General features: G+C 43.1%; 1 protein-coding gene across 12 annotated transcripts in view, besides 3 other annotated features; it reads left to right on the top strand.

The window, feature by feature from the left end:
* The window catches only part of RFX8 (regulatory factor X8), a 77,754-nt gene that overhangs the window by 4,668 nt on the left and 54,411 nt on the right, over positions 1-18,675 (top strand). For 7 of the 12 annotated variants that reach the window (NM_001367508.1, NM_001367509.1, XM_047445739.1 and 4 more), the window contains exons 2-3: positions 3,545-3,668; positions 17,999-18,060. Coding sequence is in view for 9 of the 12 variants with exons in the window: in XM_017004851.2 (XP_016860340.1) it covers positions 3,545-3,668; positions 17,999-18,060 (186 nt within the window). In the remaining 3 variants the exon portion in view is untranslated. Of the gene's footprint in view, positions 1-3,544; positions 3,669-17,998; positions 18,061-18,675 lie in introns of those variants that run through there. The other 5 variants (XM_011511771.3, NM_001145664.2, NM_001367510.1 and 2 more) reach the window with 2 other exon arrangements.
* Positions 2,662-3,249: an enhancer, noted in NCBI's record as "NANOG hESC enhancer chr2:102083658-102084245 (GRCh37/hg19 assembly coordinates)". NCBI's record gives its function as "activates a minimal SCP1, AML or CMV promoter by ChIP-STARR-seq in naive and primed H9 embryonic stem cells {active_cell/tissue: H9 hESC(naive and primed)}" and the evidence as "EXISTENCE:reporter gene assay evidence [ECO:0000049][PMID:30033119]".
* Positions 5,360-6,559: an enhancer, noted in NCBI's record as "BRD4-independent group 4 enhancer chr2:102080348-102081547 (GRCh37/hg19 assembly coordinates)". NCBI's record gives its function as "activates an origin of replication core promoter dependent on BRD2, P300/CBP, MED14 and CDK7 cofactors, and independent of BRD4, by STARR-seq in HCT116 cells {active_cell/tissue: HCT116}" and the evidence as "EXISTENCE:reporter gene assay evidence [ECO:0000049][PMID:35650434]".
* Positions 10,563-11,156: an enhancer, noted in NCBI's record as "H3K27ac-H3K4me1 hESC enhancer chr2:102075751-102076344 (GRCh37/hg19 assembly coordinates)". NCBI's record gives its function as "activates a minimal SCP1, AML or CMV promoter by ChIP-STARR-seq in naive H9 embryonic stem cells {active_cell/tissue: H9 hESC(naive)}" and the evidence as "EXISTENCE:reporter gene assay evidence [ECO:0000049][PMID:30033119]".

Below are 18,675 nucleotides of genomic sequence, written 5' to 3'. Positions count from 1 at the left end.
CCTTAACCAATGTCACCTGCCGGCAGTTCTGCCAGTCCCCAATCGGTCTCTCCTTGGAGCCCCAGGTGGTTGGAAGTCAGGCTCACCTACAGCAGGTGCTCTGTGTAGCCACTCTGCCAACATCAGCATCTTTCTTGCTTCCATTCCAGATTTTGATGGTAGACATAAAAATGATAATAATAAGAGCTTCTGTGTGCAAGCCACGGTAGTAGGCAGGTCATGTGCTTGTTTTCTGATCACAAAAACTCTCAGGTGTCTCAGAGTCAGAATGGAAACTTAGGTCTTTGAGGTTCAAAGCCCGGGGTATGTGTGTGGACACTGAAGGCTGAGGCAACTACTGGGTGACACTGAAGGCTGAGGCAACTACTGGGTGACAAAGTCCACTTTCAAACCTTCTGCTTGTCCAGTTACTGTATGCTGACTGGCTGCCACTGGTCAGTCTCTGCGATTTGGCTTAGAATATTGGGCAAATGACCACAGACACATGGTCAGAAACAGAATGAATCTCTTGGAACTGCCAGGATCAAGGCAGCCACACAGGGCTCACATCCGAAGGCAGCCCTTTCTTTCCATGTGTGGCATAGAAAGGACTCTTGGCCACAGACCTTTACTATTATTCTTATTAAGAGTATTATTTGGCCTTCCTATTCCACTTAGGTAACAGGCAGGCTCGGTAGTATCATTTTGAAATTGGGAGGACAGCAATTCATAGAGACTTAGAACAAATGAGCGTCTGTCACAGGAAAGAACAATCAGCAAACATGGAAAACTAGAGTTCATTTTAAGGAGTTTGTATTTTTTACACTTCTTTTTTAAGGAGATAATTCCCTAACTAAATCTGGAGTAACTATGAATAAACAGAAGTGAGTTTGAATTGAATGCACATCACATTTTGCCACAGTTTCCCGGATTTAGCCAACATTTTTCTGTGATAACTTCCAATAGTGAGTTTTTCATATATCAACAAGTAGTGTCTTAACAAAAGAAATATAAGCCAGGTGCAGTGGTTTGTGCCTGTAATCCCAGCACTTTGGAAGGCCAAGGTGGGAGGATTGCTCGACAACAGGAGGTCAGCACTAGCTTGGGCAACATAGTGAGACCGTCTCTACAAAAATTTTTTTTTAAGTATCTGGACATGGTCACACGCCTGTAGTCGCAGCTATTCAGGAGGCTAAGGCAGGAGGATCCCTTGAGCCCAGGAGTTTGAGGATGCAATGAGCTATGATTGCACCACTGCATTCCAGAGGGAGTCTCTCTCTCTCTCTCCATGTATATGTGTGTGTGTGTGTGTATATATATATATATACTTATATATATATACTTATATATATATACACTTATATATATATACTTATATATATACACTTATATATATATACATATATATACGTATATATATATACATATATATACGTATATATATATACCTATATATATATACGTATATATATACTTATATATATATACTTACATATATATATATGCTGGCTATATATATGAATCTGCCACTCCCCCATGCCACCATCCCATCGATAGGTATCACCCTGTACTCAGCCTTGAGCCAAATAATTGATGCAGTAGCAGCTGCATTTAAGCCATTGTGAAGTATCTGAAGTGTCAGGCTCCCACAATGATTTTGGGAAGCATCCCAGAAAAATCTACTTCCTTGATGCCTGTACTGGGTTGAATAGCATCCCCCCAAAAAAAACTCATGTCCACCCGGAACCTCAGAATGTAACCTTATTTGGAAATAGGATCTTTGTAGATGTAATTAGTTAAATTGAAGTCATCCTGAATTAGGATGGGCTCTAAATCCAGTCACTGGTATGTTGATAAGAAAATTCACAGAGATACTAGCCATGCACGGTGACTCATGCCTGTAATCCCAGCACTTTGGGAGGCTGAGGTGGGTGGAGCGCTCGAGCCCAGGAGTTCAAGACCAGCCTGGCCAACATGGCAAAACCCCGTCTCTACTAAAAAAATGCAAAAAAGAAAAACAATAAAATTCTCAGAGATACGGACACACAGGGAGAAGGCTGTGTAAGACACAGGCAGGGACTGGAGTGAAGCCGAGGAACACTGAGGAACACCGAGGATTTCCAGCAATCACCAGAAACAAGGAGAAAAGTATCGAGCAGGGTCTCCCTCAGAGCCTCTGGAAGGAACCGACCTTGCTGGCACTTGGATTTTTAAGCTTCCAGCTTCCAGAACTGTGAGAATACATTTCTGTTGTTTGAGGCCACTGGGCCTGTGGTAATTTGTTACCCCAAGGAAGCATTGCAGGGCCAGAGATTCCCCTATTCCTTATGTCCATGTGTCTTTTTTTCTGGGAAGCCGGTGGGGTTAACAATTGTGACTATGTCCTTTAGTTCCCAAGGAAAGTAAGTTTGGGCCTCAGTGTGCCTCATTCCAGAAGATAAGCTGTATACTACCCATATACCCATCTAGAGCAAAATACCCATATTTTTCTCTAGAAAAACAAATGCCAAGGAGACGTATTGTCTGTAAAGTCTCTGCTAAATAAATATTCCTCTTTGTTTAAAAATTATACTGGCTTGCTTTGTATATTTTTTTTAAAGAACGATGGTCTGTCCCACCGGGAAAGGAAGGTAGTGGCTGGATGTCACTACGGACACTTTCTGACCCAGGCCACCTTCACCACTCACCTCCACGCTCACATACTGCTGCTGGAATAGGCGCCTGGCTGTCCCCAGGGGCCGGGGCTGGTCTGTGAACCTCAGCCAGAGCCTCTCATTGGTAAGGAATACACTCTGCCTCCAGACCAGGAGCATTTGGGTAGTTGAAGGTCCCACTTTGAGCAGAGGTCACAGGCACTGCAGGTGCGTTCACAGGCACTGCTGCATTCGCTCTGTGCTGCTCTGGCTCTGTACCAATAGGGAAGAAAGCAGAGCAAAAGCACTCTGCCTCTCTTGGTGTCTCTTGATGTCTTGCATTTTACACCTCATTGCAATTCAAAGAATCCAAACATAATGGCCTGCCCTAAACCACAGGGGTTTAAGAACCATGCAAGCAACTGCTTCAGAGGAACAGGGATCAGAGAGGGAAGGATGTGAAAACGGGCCCTGGGAAGCCAGGCTGGCCCCTGCGGTCACCTGCAGGGGTGATAGGACTTACCTGGGTATTGTTTTGTGTCTTATTCATAAAGTGGAATAAATAATTCTCCACTTTGTAGTTATGTAGCTCTTGGCTGTAACCTTTGTAAAGGTCTATGAAACAGCGTCTGCTGAAGTCCTAATTTGAACTTCTTTTTAGCATGCCAACCTGCCAGGAAACAAACAAAAACAGAAACACGTTATGGGCTTCTGATCTTCTAAAAGCCACAGTCAATATACTTAACACTGGCCTAAGGACAAACGGGTACATAGTGATGCCAGTTGTGAGCCTTCGCAGGGATTCATCCAATAAATTAGACATGTTTCATTTATTGGAACCTCATACACATCTTGACCATTGATTTTGTCAAAATATTTTGCTCTAGAAAAACAAATGCCAATTTCCTCCTCCTTGTCCTCCTCTCCTCCAGGTTGGTCGACAACTTCTGCATTTGCGAAGAGTGCAGCGTCCCTCGCTGTCTCATGTATGAGATTTACGTGGAGACCTGTGGGCAAAACACTGAGAACCAAGTCAACCCGGCCACCTTTGGGAAGGTAAGTTGTTGAAGATTAAGAACGCTCTATTCACTGAGTGCAAAAAAGGGAAGCAAGTTATTGGAGGAAATGTTGCAATGTATTTGAGTCTAATGGATTTTCAGTGGGTATCTTTGGCTTCCTTCCCACCAGCTGGTCAACATCCTTCAGCTAATTGAAGAGCCATCCTGTTAGCCACTTCCCTTTGTCCACACTTCATAGTGAGGGGCCAGGAAGGATGAGGAATGGGTAGCACCTAAGGGAATGTAATTATGGCAGCTCCAAGCACTCCTCAGGGAGCCAGGTTTGCTGGCATGGTATTCCCTGCATAGAAGTGCCAAGCTCTGAGAGCCGCTTTGGCACCACACAAGCTGAGAGCCACTTTGTGATGTCAGACAACTGATGTTTCTCACAATTTGGTTGCGCTGAGAGAACTCATTGGCTCTTAAAAGATCTCTGGAGGTTAAGATCTTTTTTTTTTTTTTTTTCCGAGATAGAATTTCCCTCTTGTTGCCCAGGCTACAGCAATGGCGTGATCTTGGCTCACTGCAACCTCCACCTCCCAGGTTCAAATGAGCCTCCTGCCTCTTGCATCTGTATGTCCAGGAGTGAACTTGCAGTGTCAGGGGGTGCATGGCTGAGTGACATCAAGGGATGTGGCCAAACCATTACCCTCCCCACAGCAATCGTGTGGATTTCAATTTTACTTACAAAACATTGAAATGATTAGATCCGTTCTTCCAAACACAGTCTTCGTCTTTGAAACTTCTGTTCATTTGTGGAAGTTCTACACTTTTGATAATCACAGAATCTTCTAATATGGAGGCTGCTCACATATTTGAAACAACTGTTCACCTCTCCCTGTCTTCCCTTTGCCTCCCTGCCCACCTGTTTCGTTATGACTTCAATTATTGACGTTTCCCTTAAAGGTGGCCCCAAGGGTGCAACGCAGTCCCTCAGATGTGCTCAAAGGTCAAGAGCGCTTACCTTTTTTTGGCTACTGTTGGCTTTTATTTTTCTGTATCTGTTCAGTTTAAGCTTGTAGTCAACAGAAACAACCTTAAGTATTTTTTTCTAAAGAGTTGAAATTAAGGTAAGCCTCCCAAAACAGTCTTGTAAAGTGTAAAATATTAATACTCTATATAAATACAAAATGTTGTTGTTATCATACTGTTATCATCATGTAATTAACTATTTGAACCCAAGAGTAGTTATTCTCTTATTCCTATTGTATTTTACCTCAGTTTTTTGTGTTTTTTTGTTTGTTTGTTTTTGTTTTTTGCTTTTTTGAGACAGAGTCTTGCCCTGTCGCCAGGCTGAAGTGCAGTGGCACGATCTTGGCTCACTGCAACCTCCGCCTCCCGAGTTCAAGCGATTCCCGTGCCTCAGTCTCCCAAGTATCTGGGACTACAGGCGTGCACCACCACGCCCAGCTAATTTTTTGTATTTTATTTTAGTAGAGACTGGGTTTCACTATGTTGGCCAGGATGGTCTCGATCTCCCGACCTCGTGATCTGCCCGCCTCCCTAAGTGCTGGGATTATAGGGGTAAGCCAGTGTGCCCGGCCACCTATTCAGTTTTGACCTGCAGTTCTATTTCTCACCATATTCTTGAATCACAGGTGGTTCATCCAGTCTTCCCAACCTGCTGAAGTGGCTATGTTTGAAAAGTGTGTCTTTTATCAAGTCATCTTGCTAGGTGACTCTAAGCTTTTCCCAGTAGCTGGGAATTCCCCCAGCTGCTATCATCCAGGTCATATTTTGCCATTTCATCACTCCAAATATTGGCAAACATCATCCAAGGCTGAGCTGAGTGCTGGGTATCCTGGCCCTGCAGCCTTTTCCCATCCAGCCATCTACCACCCTTATCAGAGGGAAGTGGGTGACTTTGGCTTGACATGTTTTAGCTCCATGGGATGCCTACCTCCTTTTCTAACATAGCAAAAACTCTTTTCCACGAACTTTTAAAGATCTTTTTATAAGGCTGTTTCACCTTCATGGTAATTCTACTGCAAAGCATTAGAAAAAAAAGTTAAAGAGACTCCAGTGTGTGACTACATGCAGCTAGGAGGCATTTTTTATCTCAATACTCTCGGATTCCTTTAGAATTCCTCAAGGTGCCAAGGTACTAACTTTCAGCTCTCATTGGAAATTTGCCTGAAAAACGGGCCACATCAGTTGAGCTGGTATTGGGAAAGGTCTCTGTGCTGCTGAATTTGTGACTAAATGGAGAAGGGAGGGGAAGGGAAAAGGATATGATCCCAACGTATGTTTACAAGAGAAACAACAAAATCCGCAATTCTCACTTCCTCCCTCCTCCCCTGGGAATAGAGTCGGTTTCTCACCAAGTTCCTGTGCAGATGTTGGAATGTTTCTTGCTCTTTGTGGCGGTACTGGGCATGTGATGGGTAAGACTCATTCCTGGTACAAGTGATATTTTACATGGATTAGGGAATTTCCGGAAGGCTGACTTCCTCTTTTGAAATAACATTTGCTGATGTTTTTCTGATTATAAACGGACTACATCCCCTTTGTAGGAAATGTGGAAATTAGAGGAGAATGTGTAAAAAGAAGAAAATGAATGCCGGCTATCACTTCCCTGTCCAGAGATATAGGCCCGTGTGTGTAGTTCATTTGCAGACATGCACACTCACTCATGCACACATATGGGACCGGCAGGAGCTGGAGAAGTAACCACATGGCGACTTCATCTTCCTGTTCTGTGTCTGAAGGTGTCCAGTGGCTGGTTCTTCCTCAGCTCCTGAGTGAGCATTTGAGCAATCAGCATGACCTTGCTGGAAACTCTTGGATGACACCAAGTCTTGTTGTCACTGTAAATACCCAACATTGTCATCAGTCTGATGCTTAGAGTATCCAGTCCCAGATAATATCAAAACTCTGAACTTGATTTAAAGTAGAGCTGTTTCCCCATCCCCTCCAGCTTGGTATCTTGCCACAGAGAACTAGGCCTGGGCTTCTTCCCTCCCTCTGCCTCCTCCCACAGCTCACCAGGTGTGGCCTGACCCCTCTGGGAGGGAGAGAAGGAGGTAAGTGGCTGTATAGTTCTTATTTCATGGCTGCAGGCTCTGGGGGCAGGCGGACCCTGTCTCCCGGTGGTGGTGTTCAGGGCCCCCTTGGGACTGTCCCAGTGTGCATCCCCAGGCTTGGTGAAACACCCTTTTCAGTGGTCACGTGCTGCCTGCCCGGCAGGCTGTCTCCCAGGGCTGCTGTGGCTGACCGCCTGTCCAGGGGGCCTCGCAAGGCAGAGTCTGGGCTCTCCCACATGCCAGCTCTTTCATGGAGAGGTCGCAGCCATTCTCAGCCTGCACAGAGGGTGGATGAGCCGGCTGAACCCACAGCTGCACCCATCTCTTCCACTCTCCTGCCAGAGCCCTGCCCTCACTGCCCACCAGGAGTCTGAGGCCTCTCTTTGAGTGACTCAGGCCTGAGGGGGCCCACACCCCTCCCACACCAGGGAAGAGGGTGGTCTTAAAGCTGGAAAGCCCCTTATGTGTCCTCTCCTCTCTACCTCGTTGTGGGGGATTAGTGTTAAGGGCTTCTGTAGCATTCTATAACCACATTTCAGCTAAATGCCTGAAGACACAAGTCCCCTAGGGTATGTATCTCACAATTCACTTTATGGCATGTTATCTGCTGTCTTTTTGCCTCATCCTGTCATACAGAGGCTGCAAGGCTAGATGGATTGAAAGATCGATGTGTGGATGGGTGATGGACGGACAGATAATAATTAGACAAGAGGACCCTTCAGAAGACTTTCTTCTTCCTGATTTGATTTTTGTCTCCTCTTTGGGCCATGAGTACTGCATGGCCTCTTATTGCTTCCTTACCTCCTGGCCACATCTATTATAAAGAATCCTTTTGAGAAACTCTTCTTCGGTTATTTTCACTTGAGTGTGCTGTTTCCTATTGGGACCCTAACTGATAAAGATAAATAGGTAGATAGACAGACACACAGGCAGACAGACAGATAGCCATCAGGTAACATGGTAAAATTTTTAACAGCATCAAGCCTGGAATGGAACTTCTTAGATTGTAACCCTGGGTAAGATAACCATCTTGTTTCCACTTCATCATATATAAAGTGAGGATATTAATAATAGTAATATTAATAATAGTACCTATTTCATGAGGTTCTTTTAAGAAATGAATGAGAAAACACATGTAAAGAGAATAAAACAGTCCTGGGATGTGGAAAGCACCCAAGAAATACTAACTTTTATCATTCTTTTTGCCTCAAATATCATAAACATTTTTACATTAAGATATTTTCAAGTGCATCTTGTATAATAGCTGTGAAATATTTTGGGAGTTGTACCATAATTTATTTAACCATATCCCCCCTTTTTTTGAGGCAGAGTGTTGCTCTGTCACTTAGGCTGGAATACAGCGACATGATCTCGGCTCACTGCAACCTCTGCCTCCTGGGCTCCAGCAAGCCTCCCACTTCAGTCTCCCAAGTAGCTGGGACTACACGTGTGCCACCACACCTGGTTAATTTTGTTTTGTTTTGTTTGCAGAGACAGGGTTTTGCCAAGTTGCCCAGGCTGGTCTTGGACCCCTGGGCTTAAGCAATGCACCTGCGTCTCCGCCTCCCAAAGTGCTGGGATTACAGGTGTGAGCCACCGCGCCCAGCCTAACCATATCCCTTATTGGAAATATAGGTTGTTTGTAATTTTCCTTCATTTTAAACACCATAAGTCCCCATCCATATCTGGTCATTTTTTTAGGATAGATCCCCATATGTGGCCTGCCGAATTGCTTTTTGCAACCAACTGTAAACAATTGCAGTCAGTTCCCATCCCTGATGATAATTCATGGTATTCTTAGACAAATTCATAACATTCCTACCCCAGAAAACTTGCTGGGTAAAAATTAGAATGAGCTGTTTCTACTTGCATTTATTGGGTTATAAGGTGAGGACTTTTGCGTGCGCTTTGGTCATGTGTATGTTGTGTGTGTACATATTACCACCAGACCATTTTCTATTGCGGCGTATTTCCTATTGATTTGTTTCAGTTCTCTCTATATTCAGGGTATAATTTTTAACTTAATTATATTTTCTGCAAGTTATCCCAGTTGATTTTTTCATTTTAACTGTGTTGTATTTGCTCTCTATATTAAAATGAAATCACAGGATAGTCTGGGGTTGGGGTGACTCAGTATTATCAAATGTACAGAGTATTATGTTGCCGGACAATCAGGCACTTTACTTCTGCTTTTCTTTCCCAAACACCAGATTATTTCTCAGGGCTAGAATCTGAGCCTGCTGCATACTTTCTCATAATTTCTATAGGTACTTAAGACGTGCATCTGGATTTTGCTTTGCAACTAAACATATAGGAAGGCTTTTCAATGATTTTCTTAAGTTAGAGGAGATGAAGTTGTCAGAATCTGTTGTTGACAATAGGAATTTCTAGCCTCTAATACTGCATTTAGATTTGGCTGACTTTTCCTTTTGTCTCCTGTCATTTTTCTTTTCTTTTTCTTTTTCTTTCTTTTTTTTTTTTTTTTTTTTGAGATGGAGTCTCACTCTGTCGCCCGGGCTGGGGTGCAGTGGCGTGATCTCGGCTCACTGCAACCTCCACCTCCTGGGTTCACGCCATTCTCCAGCCTCTGGAGTAGCTGGGACTACAGGTGCCCGCTACCATGCCCGGCAATTTTTTTTTGTATTTTAGTAGAGATGGGATTTTACCATGTTAACCAGGATGGTCTCGATCTCCTGACCTCGTGATCTGCCCACCTCGGCCTCCCAAAGTGCTGGGATTACAGGCGTGAGCCACCGTGCCTGTCGTCTCCTGTCATTTTTCTCCCGTACATTTTGATTCTCCTTCCCTGAAAGACCCTCTGCATTTGGAGGCATGATCGAGGTGTTAATTGTGTCAAACTTGCCCTGCTCTTTTGTCTTGCCTCCCCCTCATCCCAGCTTGTGTGGACTTCCTGCAGGAAGAGGTAGAACCTGGAGCCAGAAAAGAGGAAAAATGGTTCACATTTCCATCAAATCCCACTGCTTGGGAGCTAATTAAAAAAAAAAAAAGAAAGAAAGAGGGATGCAACATGAAACCAAGCAGAAGCAAGGGCTGAATGATTACGGACAGGGTGTAGAGAAAGAACAGAAGTAATTACTTGACAGCTCCAAATACCGTGGCTTCCCTGCTCTGTGTTTTGTAATTTCTTGATGATCCAGGATTTCCACTCTCAACATGCATGTCATGGATGCCACGCTTGTCATGAACCTCGCTGATTCGGAAACTAGACCAGACTTCTATTGGTCATAAGTGTAATGTCATGGCTCTCTAACAAAGTGCTGATAAACAAGATAGCATTTCACTAATCAAACCCAGAAAGTGAAAACAAATTAGGCAAACAAATGGATAATAAAAAGTGAAAATGGGGTCTGGCTTCCAAGATGGCCGAATAGGAACAGCTCCTATCTGCAGCTCTCAGTGAGATCGACGCAGAAAGACAGGTGATTTCTGCATATCCAACTGAGGTTCCTGGTTCATCTTGTTGGGACTGGTTGGACAGTGGGTGCAGCCCACCGAGGGCAAGCTGAAGCAGGGTGGGGTGTCGCCTCACCAGGAAGCTCAAGATGTCGGGGGATATCCCTTTCCTAGCCAAGGGAAGCCATGACAGACTGTACCTGGAAAAACAGTTCACTCCTGCCCAAATACTGCACTTCTCCCAAGGTCTTAGCAACTGTCAGACCAGGAGATTCCCTCCTGTGCCTGGCTCAGTGGGTCCCATGCCCATGGAGCCTTGCTCCCTGCTAGTGCAGCAGCAGTCTGAGATCGACCTGCGAGGATGCGGCCAGGTGGGGGGTGGGGCGGGGCATCGGCCATTGCTGAGGCTTGAGTACGTAAACAAAGTAGCTGGGAAGCTCGAACTGGATGCAGCCCACTGCAGTGCAACAAGCCCTACTGCCTCTATGGACTCCACCTCTGTGGGCAGGGCATAGCTGAACAAAAGGCAGCAGACAACTTCTGCAGACTTAAACGTCCCTGTCTGACAGCTCTGAAGAAAGCCGTGGTTCTCCCAGCACAGCATTCAAGCTCTGAGAACGGACAGACTGCCTCCTTAAGTGGATCCCTGACCCCCACGTAGCCTGACTGGGAGACACCTCCCAGTTGCATCCAACAGACACCTCATATGGTGGGTGCCCCTCTGGGACAAAGCTTCCAGAGGAAGGATTAGGCAGCAATATTTGCTATTCTGTGATATTTGCTGTTCTGCAGCCTCTGCTGGTGATACCCTGGCAAACGGGGTCTGGAGTGGACCTCCAGCAAACTCCAACAGACCTGCAGCTGAGGGGCCTGACTGTTAGAAGGAAAACTAACAAACAGAAAGGAATAACATGAACATCAACAAAAAGGACATCCACACCAAAACCCCATCTGTAGGTCACCAACATCAAAGACCAAAGGTAGATAAAATCACAAAGATGGGGAGAAACCAGAGCAGAAAAGCTGAAAATTCCGAAAACCAGAGTGCCTCTTCTCCTCCAAAGGATTGCAGCTCCTCGCCAGCAACGGAACAAAACTGGACGGAGAATGACTTTGACGATTTGACAGAAATAGGCTTCAGAAGGTCGGTAATAACAAACTTCTCCAAGCTAAAGGAGGATGTTTGAACCCATTGCTAGGAAGCTAAAAACCTTGAAAAAAGGTTAGACGAATGGCTAACTAGAATAAACAGTGTAGAGAAGGCCATAAGGGACCTGATGGAGCTGAAAACCGTGGCACGAGAACTTTGTGATGCATACACAAGCTTCAATAGCCAATTCGATCAAGTGGAAGAAAGGATATCAATGATTGAAGATCAAATTAATGAAATAAAGTGAAAAGACAAGATTAGAGAAAAAAGAGTAACAAGAAATGAACAAAGCCGCCAAGAAATATGGGACTATGTGAAAAGATAAAATCTGTGTTGATTGATGTACCTGAAAGTGATGGAGAGAATGGGGAACCAAGTTAGAAAACACTCTTCAGGATATTATCCAGGAGAACTTCTCCAACCCAGCAAGGCAGGCCAACATTCAAATTCAGGAAATACAGAGAATACCACAAAGATACTTCTCAAAAAGAGCAACCCAAGACACTTAATTGTCAGATTCACCAAGGTTGAAATGAAGGAAAAAGTGTTAAGGGCAGACAGAGAGAAAGGTCGAGTTACCCACAAAGGGAAGCCCATCAGACTAACAGCAGATCTCTCGGGAGAAACCCTACAAGCCAGAAGAGAGTGGGGGCCAATATTAAACATTCTTAAAGGAAAGAATTTTCAACCCAGAATTTCATATCCAGCCAAACTCAGCTTCATAAGTGAAGGAGAAATAAAATCCTTTACAGACAAGCAAATGCTGAGAGATTTTGTCACCACGAGGCCTGTCTTACAAGAGCTCCTGAAGGAAGCATAAACTTGGAAACAAACAGCCGATACCAGTCACTGCAAAAACTTGCCAAATTGTAAAGACCATCAATGCCATGTAGAAACTGCATCAATTAGTGGGCAAAATAACCAGCTAACGTCATAATGACAGGATCAAATTCACACATAACAATATTAACCTTAAATGTAAATGGACTAAATGCCCCCATTAAAGGACACAGACTGGCAAATTGGATAAAGAATCATGGCCCATCAGTGTGCTGTATTCAGGAGACCCATCTCATGTGCAGAGACACAGGTAGGCTCAAAATAAGGGGATGGAGGAAGATCTACCAAGCAAATGCAAAGCGAAAAAAAAGCAGGGGTTGCAATCCTTGTCTCTGAGAAAACAGACTTTAAACCAACAAAGATCAAAAGAGACAAAGAAGGCCATTACATAATGGTAAAGGGATCAATTCAACAAGAAGAGCTAACTGTCTTAAATATATATGCACCCAATACAGGAGCACCCAGATTCATAAAGCAAGTCCTTAGAGACCTACAAAGAGACTTAGACTCCCACACACTAATAATGGGAGACTTTTAACACCCCACTGTCAACTTTAGACAGATCAATGAGCTAGAAGGTTAACAAGGATATCTGGGACCTAAACTCAGCTCTGCACCAAGCAGACCTAATAGACATCTACAGAACTCTCCAGCCCAAATCAACAGAATATACATTCTTCTCAGCACCACATCACACTTATTCTAAAATTGATCACATAATTGGAAGTAAAGCACTCCTCAGCAAATGTAAAAGAACAGAAATCATAACAAACTGTCTCTCAGACCACAGTGCAATCAAATTAGAACTCAGGAATAAGAAACTCACTCAAAATTGCACAGCTACATGGAAACTGAACAACCTGCTCCTGAATGACTACTGGATAAATAAAAAAATGAAGGCAGAAATAGAGATGTTCTTTTTGAAACCAATGAGAACAAAGACACAATGTACCAGAATCTCTGGGACACATTTAAAGTGTGCGTAGAGGGAAATTTATAGCACTAAATGCCCACAAGAGAAAGCAGGAAAGATCTAAAATCGACACCCTAACATCACAATTAAAAGAACTAGAGAAGCAAGAGTAAACAAATTCAAAAGCTAGCAAAAGGCAAGAAATATCTAAGATCAGAGCAGAACTGAAGGAGATAGAGACACAAAAAACCCTTCAAAAAAATCAATGAATCCAAGAGCTGGTTTTTTGAAAAGATCAACAAAATTGATAGACCGCTAGCAAGACTAATAAAGAAGAAAGGAGAGAAGAATCAAATAGATGCAATAAACAATGATAAAGGGGATATCATCACCGATCCCACAGAAATACAAACTACCGTCAGAGAATAGTATAAACACCTCTACGCAAATAAACTAGAAAATCTAGAAGAAATGGATAAATTCCTGGACACATACCCCCTCCCAAGACTAAACCAGGAAGAAGTTGAATCTCTGAATAATAGGTTCTGAAATTGAGGCAATAATTATTGGCCTACCAACCAAAAAAAGTCCAGAACCAGATGGATTCTACAGCCAAATTCTACCAGAGGTACAAAAAGGAGCTGGTACCATTCCTTCTGAAACTATTCCAATCAATAGAAAAAGGGAATCTTCCCTAACTCATTTTATGAGGCCATCATCATCCTGATACCAAAGCCTGGCAGAGACATAACAAAAAAAAAGAGAATTTTAGACCAATATCCCTGATGAACATCGATACGAAAATCCTCAATAAAATACTGGCAAACCGAATCCAGTAGCACATCAAAAAGCTTATCCACTATGATCAAGTCGGCTTCATCCCTGGGCTGCAAGGCTGGTTCAACATACGCAAATCAATAAATGTAACCCATCACATAAACAGAACCAACGACAAAACCACATGATTATCTCAATAGATGCAGAAAAGGCCTTTGGCAAAATTCAACAGCCATTCATGCTAAAAACTCTCAATAAACTAGGTATTGATGGAACGTATCTCAAAATAAGAAGAGCTATTTATGACAAATCCACAGCCAATATCATACTGAATGGGCAAAAAGTGGAAGCATTCCCTTTGAAAAGCGGCACAAGACAAGGATGCCCTCTCTCACCACTCCTATTCAACATAGTGTTGGAAGTTCTGGCTAGGACAATCAGGCAAGAGAAAGAAATAAAGGGTATTCAATTAGGAAAAGAGGAAGTCAAATTATCCCTGTTTGCAGATGACATGATTGTATATTTAGAAAACCCCATCTTCTCAGCCCAAAATCTCCTTAAGCTGATAAGCAACTTCAGCAAAGTCTCAGGATACAAAATCAATGTACAAAAATTACAAGCATTCCTATACACCAATTACAGACAGAGAGCCAAATCATGAGTGAACTCCCATACACAATTGCTACAAAGAGAATAAAATACCTAGGAATACAACTTATAAGGGATGTGAAGGACCTCTTCAAGGAGAACTACAAACCACTGCTCTAGGAAATAAAAGAGGACACAAACAAATGGAAGAACGTTCTATGCTCATAGATAGGAAGAATCAATATCGTGAAAATGGCCATACTGCCCAAGGTAATTTATAGATTCAATGCCATCCCCATCAAGCTACCAATGACTTTCTTCACAGAATTGGAAAAAACTACTTTAAAGTTCATATGGAACCATAAAGGAGCCTGCATAGCCAAGATAATCCTAGGCCAAAAGAACAAAGCTGGAGGCATCACACTACCTGACTTCAAACTATACTACAAGGCTACAGTAACCAAAACAGCATGGTACTGGTACCAAAACAGAGATATAGACCAATGGACCAGAACAGAGGCCTCAGAAATAACACCACACATCTACAACCATCTGATCTTTGACAAACCTGACAAAAACAAGCAATGGGGAAAGCATTCCCTATTTAATAAATGTTGCTATGAAAACTGGCTAACCATATGTAGAAAGCTGAAGCTGGATCCCTTCCTTACACCTTATACAAAAATTAACTCAAGATGGATTAAAGACTTATATGTAAGACCTAAAACGATAAAAACCATAGAAGAAAACCTAGGCAAGCCAGGCATGGTGGCTCACACCTGTAATCCCAGCACTTTAGGAGGCTGAGGTGGGTGGATCGTCTGAGGTCAGGAGTTCGAGAACAGCCTGGCCAACATAGTGAAACCCCGTCTCTACTAAAAAATACAAAAAATTAGCTGAGTGTGGTGGCGGGTGCCTATAATCCCAGCTACTCAGGAAGCTGAGGCAGCAGAATCGCTTGAACCTGGGAGGCGGAGGTAGCAATGAGCTGAGATTGTGCCATTGCACTCCACGGCAACAAGAGTGAAACTCTGTCTCAAAAAAAAAAAGAAAAAAGAAAAAGAAAACCTAGGCAATACCACTCAGGACATAGGCATGGGCAAAGACTTCATGACTAAAACACCAAAAGCAATGGCAACAAAAGCCAAAATTGACAAATGGGATCTAATTAAACTAAAGAGCTTCTGCACAGCAAAAGAAACTATCATCAGAGTGAACAAGCAATCTACAGAATGGGAGAAAATTTTTACAATCTACCCATCTGACAAAGGGCTAATATCCAGAATCTACAAATAACTTAAACAAATTTACAAGAAAAAAACAAACAACCCCATCAAAAAGTGGGTAAAGGGTATGAACAGACTCTTCTCAAAAGAAGACATTTATGCAGCCAACAGACACATGAAAAAATGCTCATCATCACTGGTTATCAGAGAAATGCAAATCAAAACCACAATGAGATATCATCTTACGCTGGTTAGAATAACGATCATTAAAAAGTCAGGAAACAGCAGATGCTGGAGAGGATGTGGAGAAATAGGAATGCTTTTACACTGTTGGTGGGAGTGTATATTAGTTCAACCATTGTGGAAGACAGTGTGGTGCTTCCTCAAGGTTCTAGAACTAGAAATACCATTTGACCCAGCGATCCCATTACTGGGTATATACCCAAAGGATTATAAATCATTCTACTATAAAGACACATGCACACATATGTTTATTATAGCACTATTCACAATAGCAAAGACTTGAAACCAACCCATATGACCATCAATGATAGACTGGATTAGGAAAATGTGACACATATACACCATGGAATACTATGCAGCCATAAAAAAGATGAGTTCATGTCCTTTGCAGGGACATGGATGATGCTGGAAACCATCATTCTCAGCAAACTATCACAAGGACAGAAAACCAAACACTGCATGTTCTCACTCATAGGTGGGAATTGAACAATGAGAGCACATGAACACAGGGAGGGGAACATCACACACCGGGGCCTGTCGGGGGTGGGGGGCTGGGGCAGTGATAGCATTAGGAGAAATACCTAATGTAAATGACAAGTTGATGGGTGCAGCAAACCAACATGGCACATGTATACGTACGTAACAAACCTGCATGTTGTGCACATGTACCCTAGAACTTAAAGTACAATAATAATTTAAAAAGTGAAAATGACTATCACATTAGAAAAAGAGGAAAATGGTAAAATTATAGCATTCTCACAGGTTGGACTATGATGCCAACCTGTGAGCCCAATTATAACTATGTTTCATAATTCTCTGCTTCCAGAGAATTTTTTATGACAAGGGGAAATATCCGTGGCATAATGTTGAGGGAAGAAAGTAGAATGCAAAACTGTAGACATGCAAGTTGTGTGATGCCAGGTATTAAATATGAAACACAGAGAACGCTTACACATATTGGGGCTTTGAAAAAAAGACTGGAAGAAATTACATTGAGGGTTTTTTGTTTTGTTTTGTTTTTGAGACCGAGTTTCACCCTTGTCACCTAGGCTAGAGTGCGATGCACTCTCAGCTCACTGCAACCTCTGCCTCCTGGGTTCATGCCCGGCTAATTTTTGTATTTTTAGTAGAGACGGGTTTTCACCATGTTGACCAGGCTGATCTCAAACTCCTGACCTCAGGTGATCTGTCCATCGTGGCCTCCCAAAGTGCTGGGATTACAGGCATGAGTCACCATGCCTGGCCAACATCGAGATTTAAATGGCATTTTCTCCAAGTGATATGTTTTCTTTTTTTCTCTCTTTTTATTTATTTATTTTTTTTTGAGACAGAGTCTTGCTCTGTCACCCAGGCTGGAGTGCAGTGGCATGATCTTGGCTCACTGCAACCTCCACCTCCTTGGTTCCAGTGATTCTCCTGCCTCAGCCTCCAGAGTAGCTGGGACTACAGGTGTGTGCCACCATGCCTGGCTAAGTTTGTTTGTTTGTTTTGAGATGGAGTCTCGCTCTGTCACCAGGATGGAGTGCAGTGGTGCGATCTCGGCTCACTGCAACCTCCACCTCCCAGGTTCAGCCTCCCTAGTAGCTTCCTGCCTCAGCCTCCTGAGTAGCTGGGACTACAGGCACATGTTACCACGCCCAGCTAATTTTTGTATTTTTAGCAGAGACGGGGTTTCACCATGTTGGCCAGGATGGTCTCAATCTCTTGACCTCATGATTCGCCTGCCTCAGCCTCCCAAAGTGCTGGGATTACAGGCGTGAGCCACCATGCCCAGCCTTTGTATTTGTAGTAGAGACCAGGTTGTAGAGACAGGGTTTCACCATGTTGGCCAGGCTGGTTTTGAACTCCTGACCTCAAGTGATTGGCCTGCCTCAGCCTCCCAAAGTGTTGGCATTACAGGCAGGAGCCACCGTGCCTGGCCTCCAAGTGGTATGTTTTCTTTTTGACACCTGTCTAATTTTTTTCCCCCAAAATTTCATTTACATTTATTTTCTTTATTGTTACCTTATTACTTTATTATTATATTTATTTTCTTTATTGTTTGCTTATTAGAAAAGAGGAAAAGGAATATCATTTAAATATTGTAAGATAAAAAATTGGAAGTTTGTTTCTAAGTTTTCAAGTTGCAACTTTAAATCTGGCTTATTCTTTTAGCTTGTGAGATTGGTTTTTCCGGACCTTGGCACCCGGAGGCTGGGCACTAGAGGAAGTGCCAGGTAGGTTTAGAATTTTTGTTTTATTTCAAATGTTAAAAACAAGGATTTGGAAAATCACAAAATGAATGATAAAAAATGCAAAACAAAACAAACTATAAATAACAACTCTTACCAAAGAGTGTCCACAATTCGCATTAATTCCCAGTGCCTGAAATCATTGAGTTGGTGCTAGAACCAAACACTGGCCTCTATTTTCTTCGGAATTTTGTTAAAATATGAAGGTTACAATATATTTTTATTGTTCTACAGTTAGGTAAATGTCTCATTCTTGAAATATTTAAATAATTAACACACATCAAATAATGCAACTGTTGCCCAGGCTGGAGTGCAATGCTGCAATCGTTGCTCACTGCAGCCTGAAGCCCCTGGGCTCAAGCAGTCCTTCCACTTCAGCCTCCTGAGTAGCTAGGACTGCAGGTGTGTCCCACCAGGCCTGGCTAGTTTTTCATGTTTTTTAGAGACGAGGTTTTCCTAAATTGCCCAGGTGGGTCTCAAACTCCTGGGCTCAAATGATCCTCCCACTTTGGCCTCCCAAAGCACTGGGATTACGGGCGTGAGCCACCACGTCCGGCCTTGGAGCTGTTTTAATTACCCTTTGAACTAAAGTTTCTGTGT

This window comes from Homo sapiens, chromosome 2 (genome assembly GCF_000001405.40).
Source record: "Homo sapiens chromosome 2, GRCh38.p14 Primary Assembly".
NCBI classification, from domain to species: domain Eukaryota; kingdom Metazoa; phylum Chordata; class Mammalia; order Primates; family Hominidae; genus Homo; species Homo sapiens.
The sequence above is the reverse complement of the archived record's forward strand: the minus strand, read 5'-3'. Positions and strand labels throughout refer to the sequence as shown.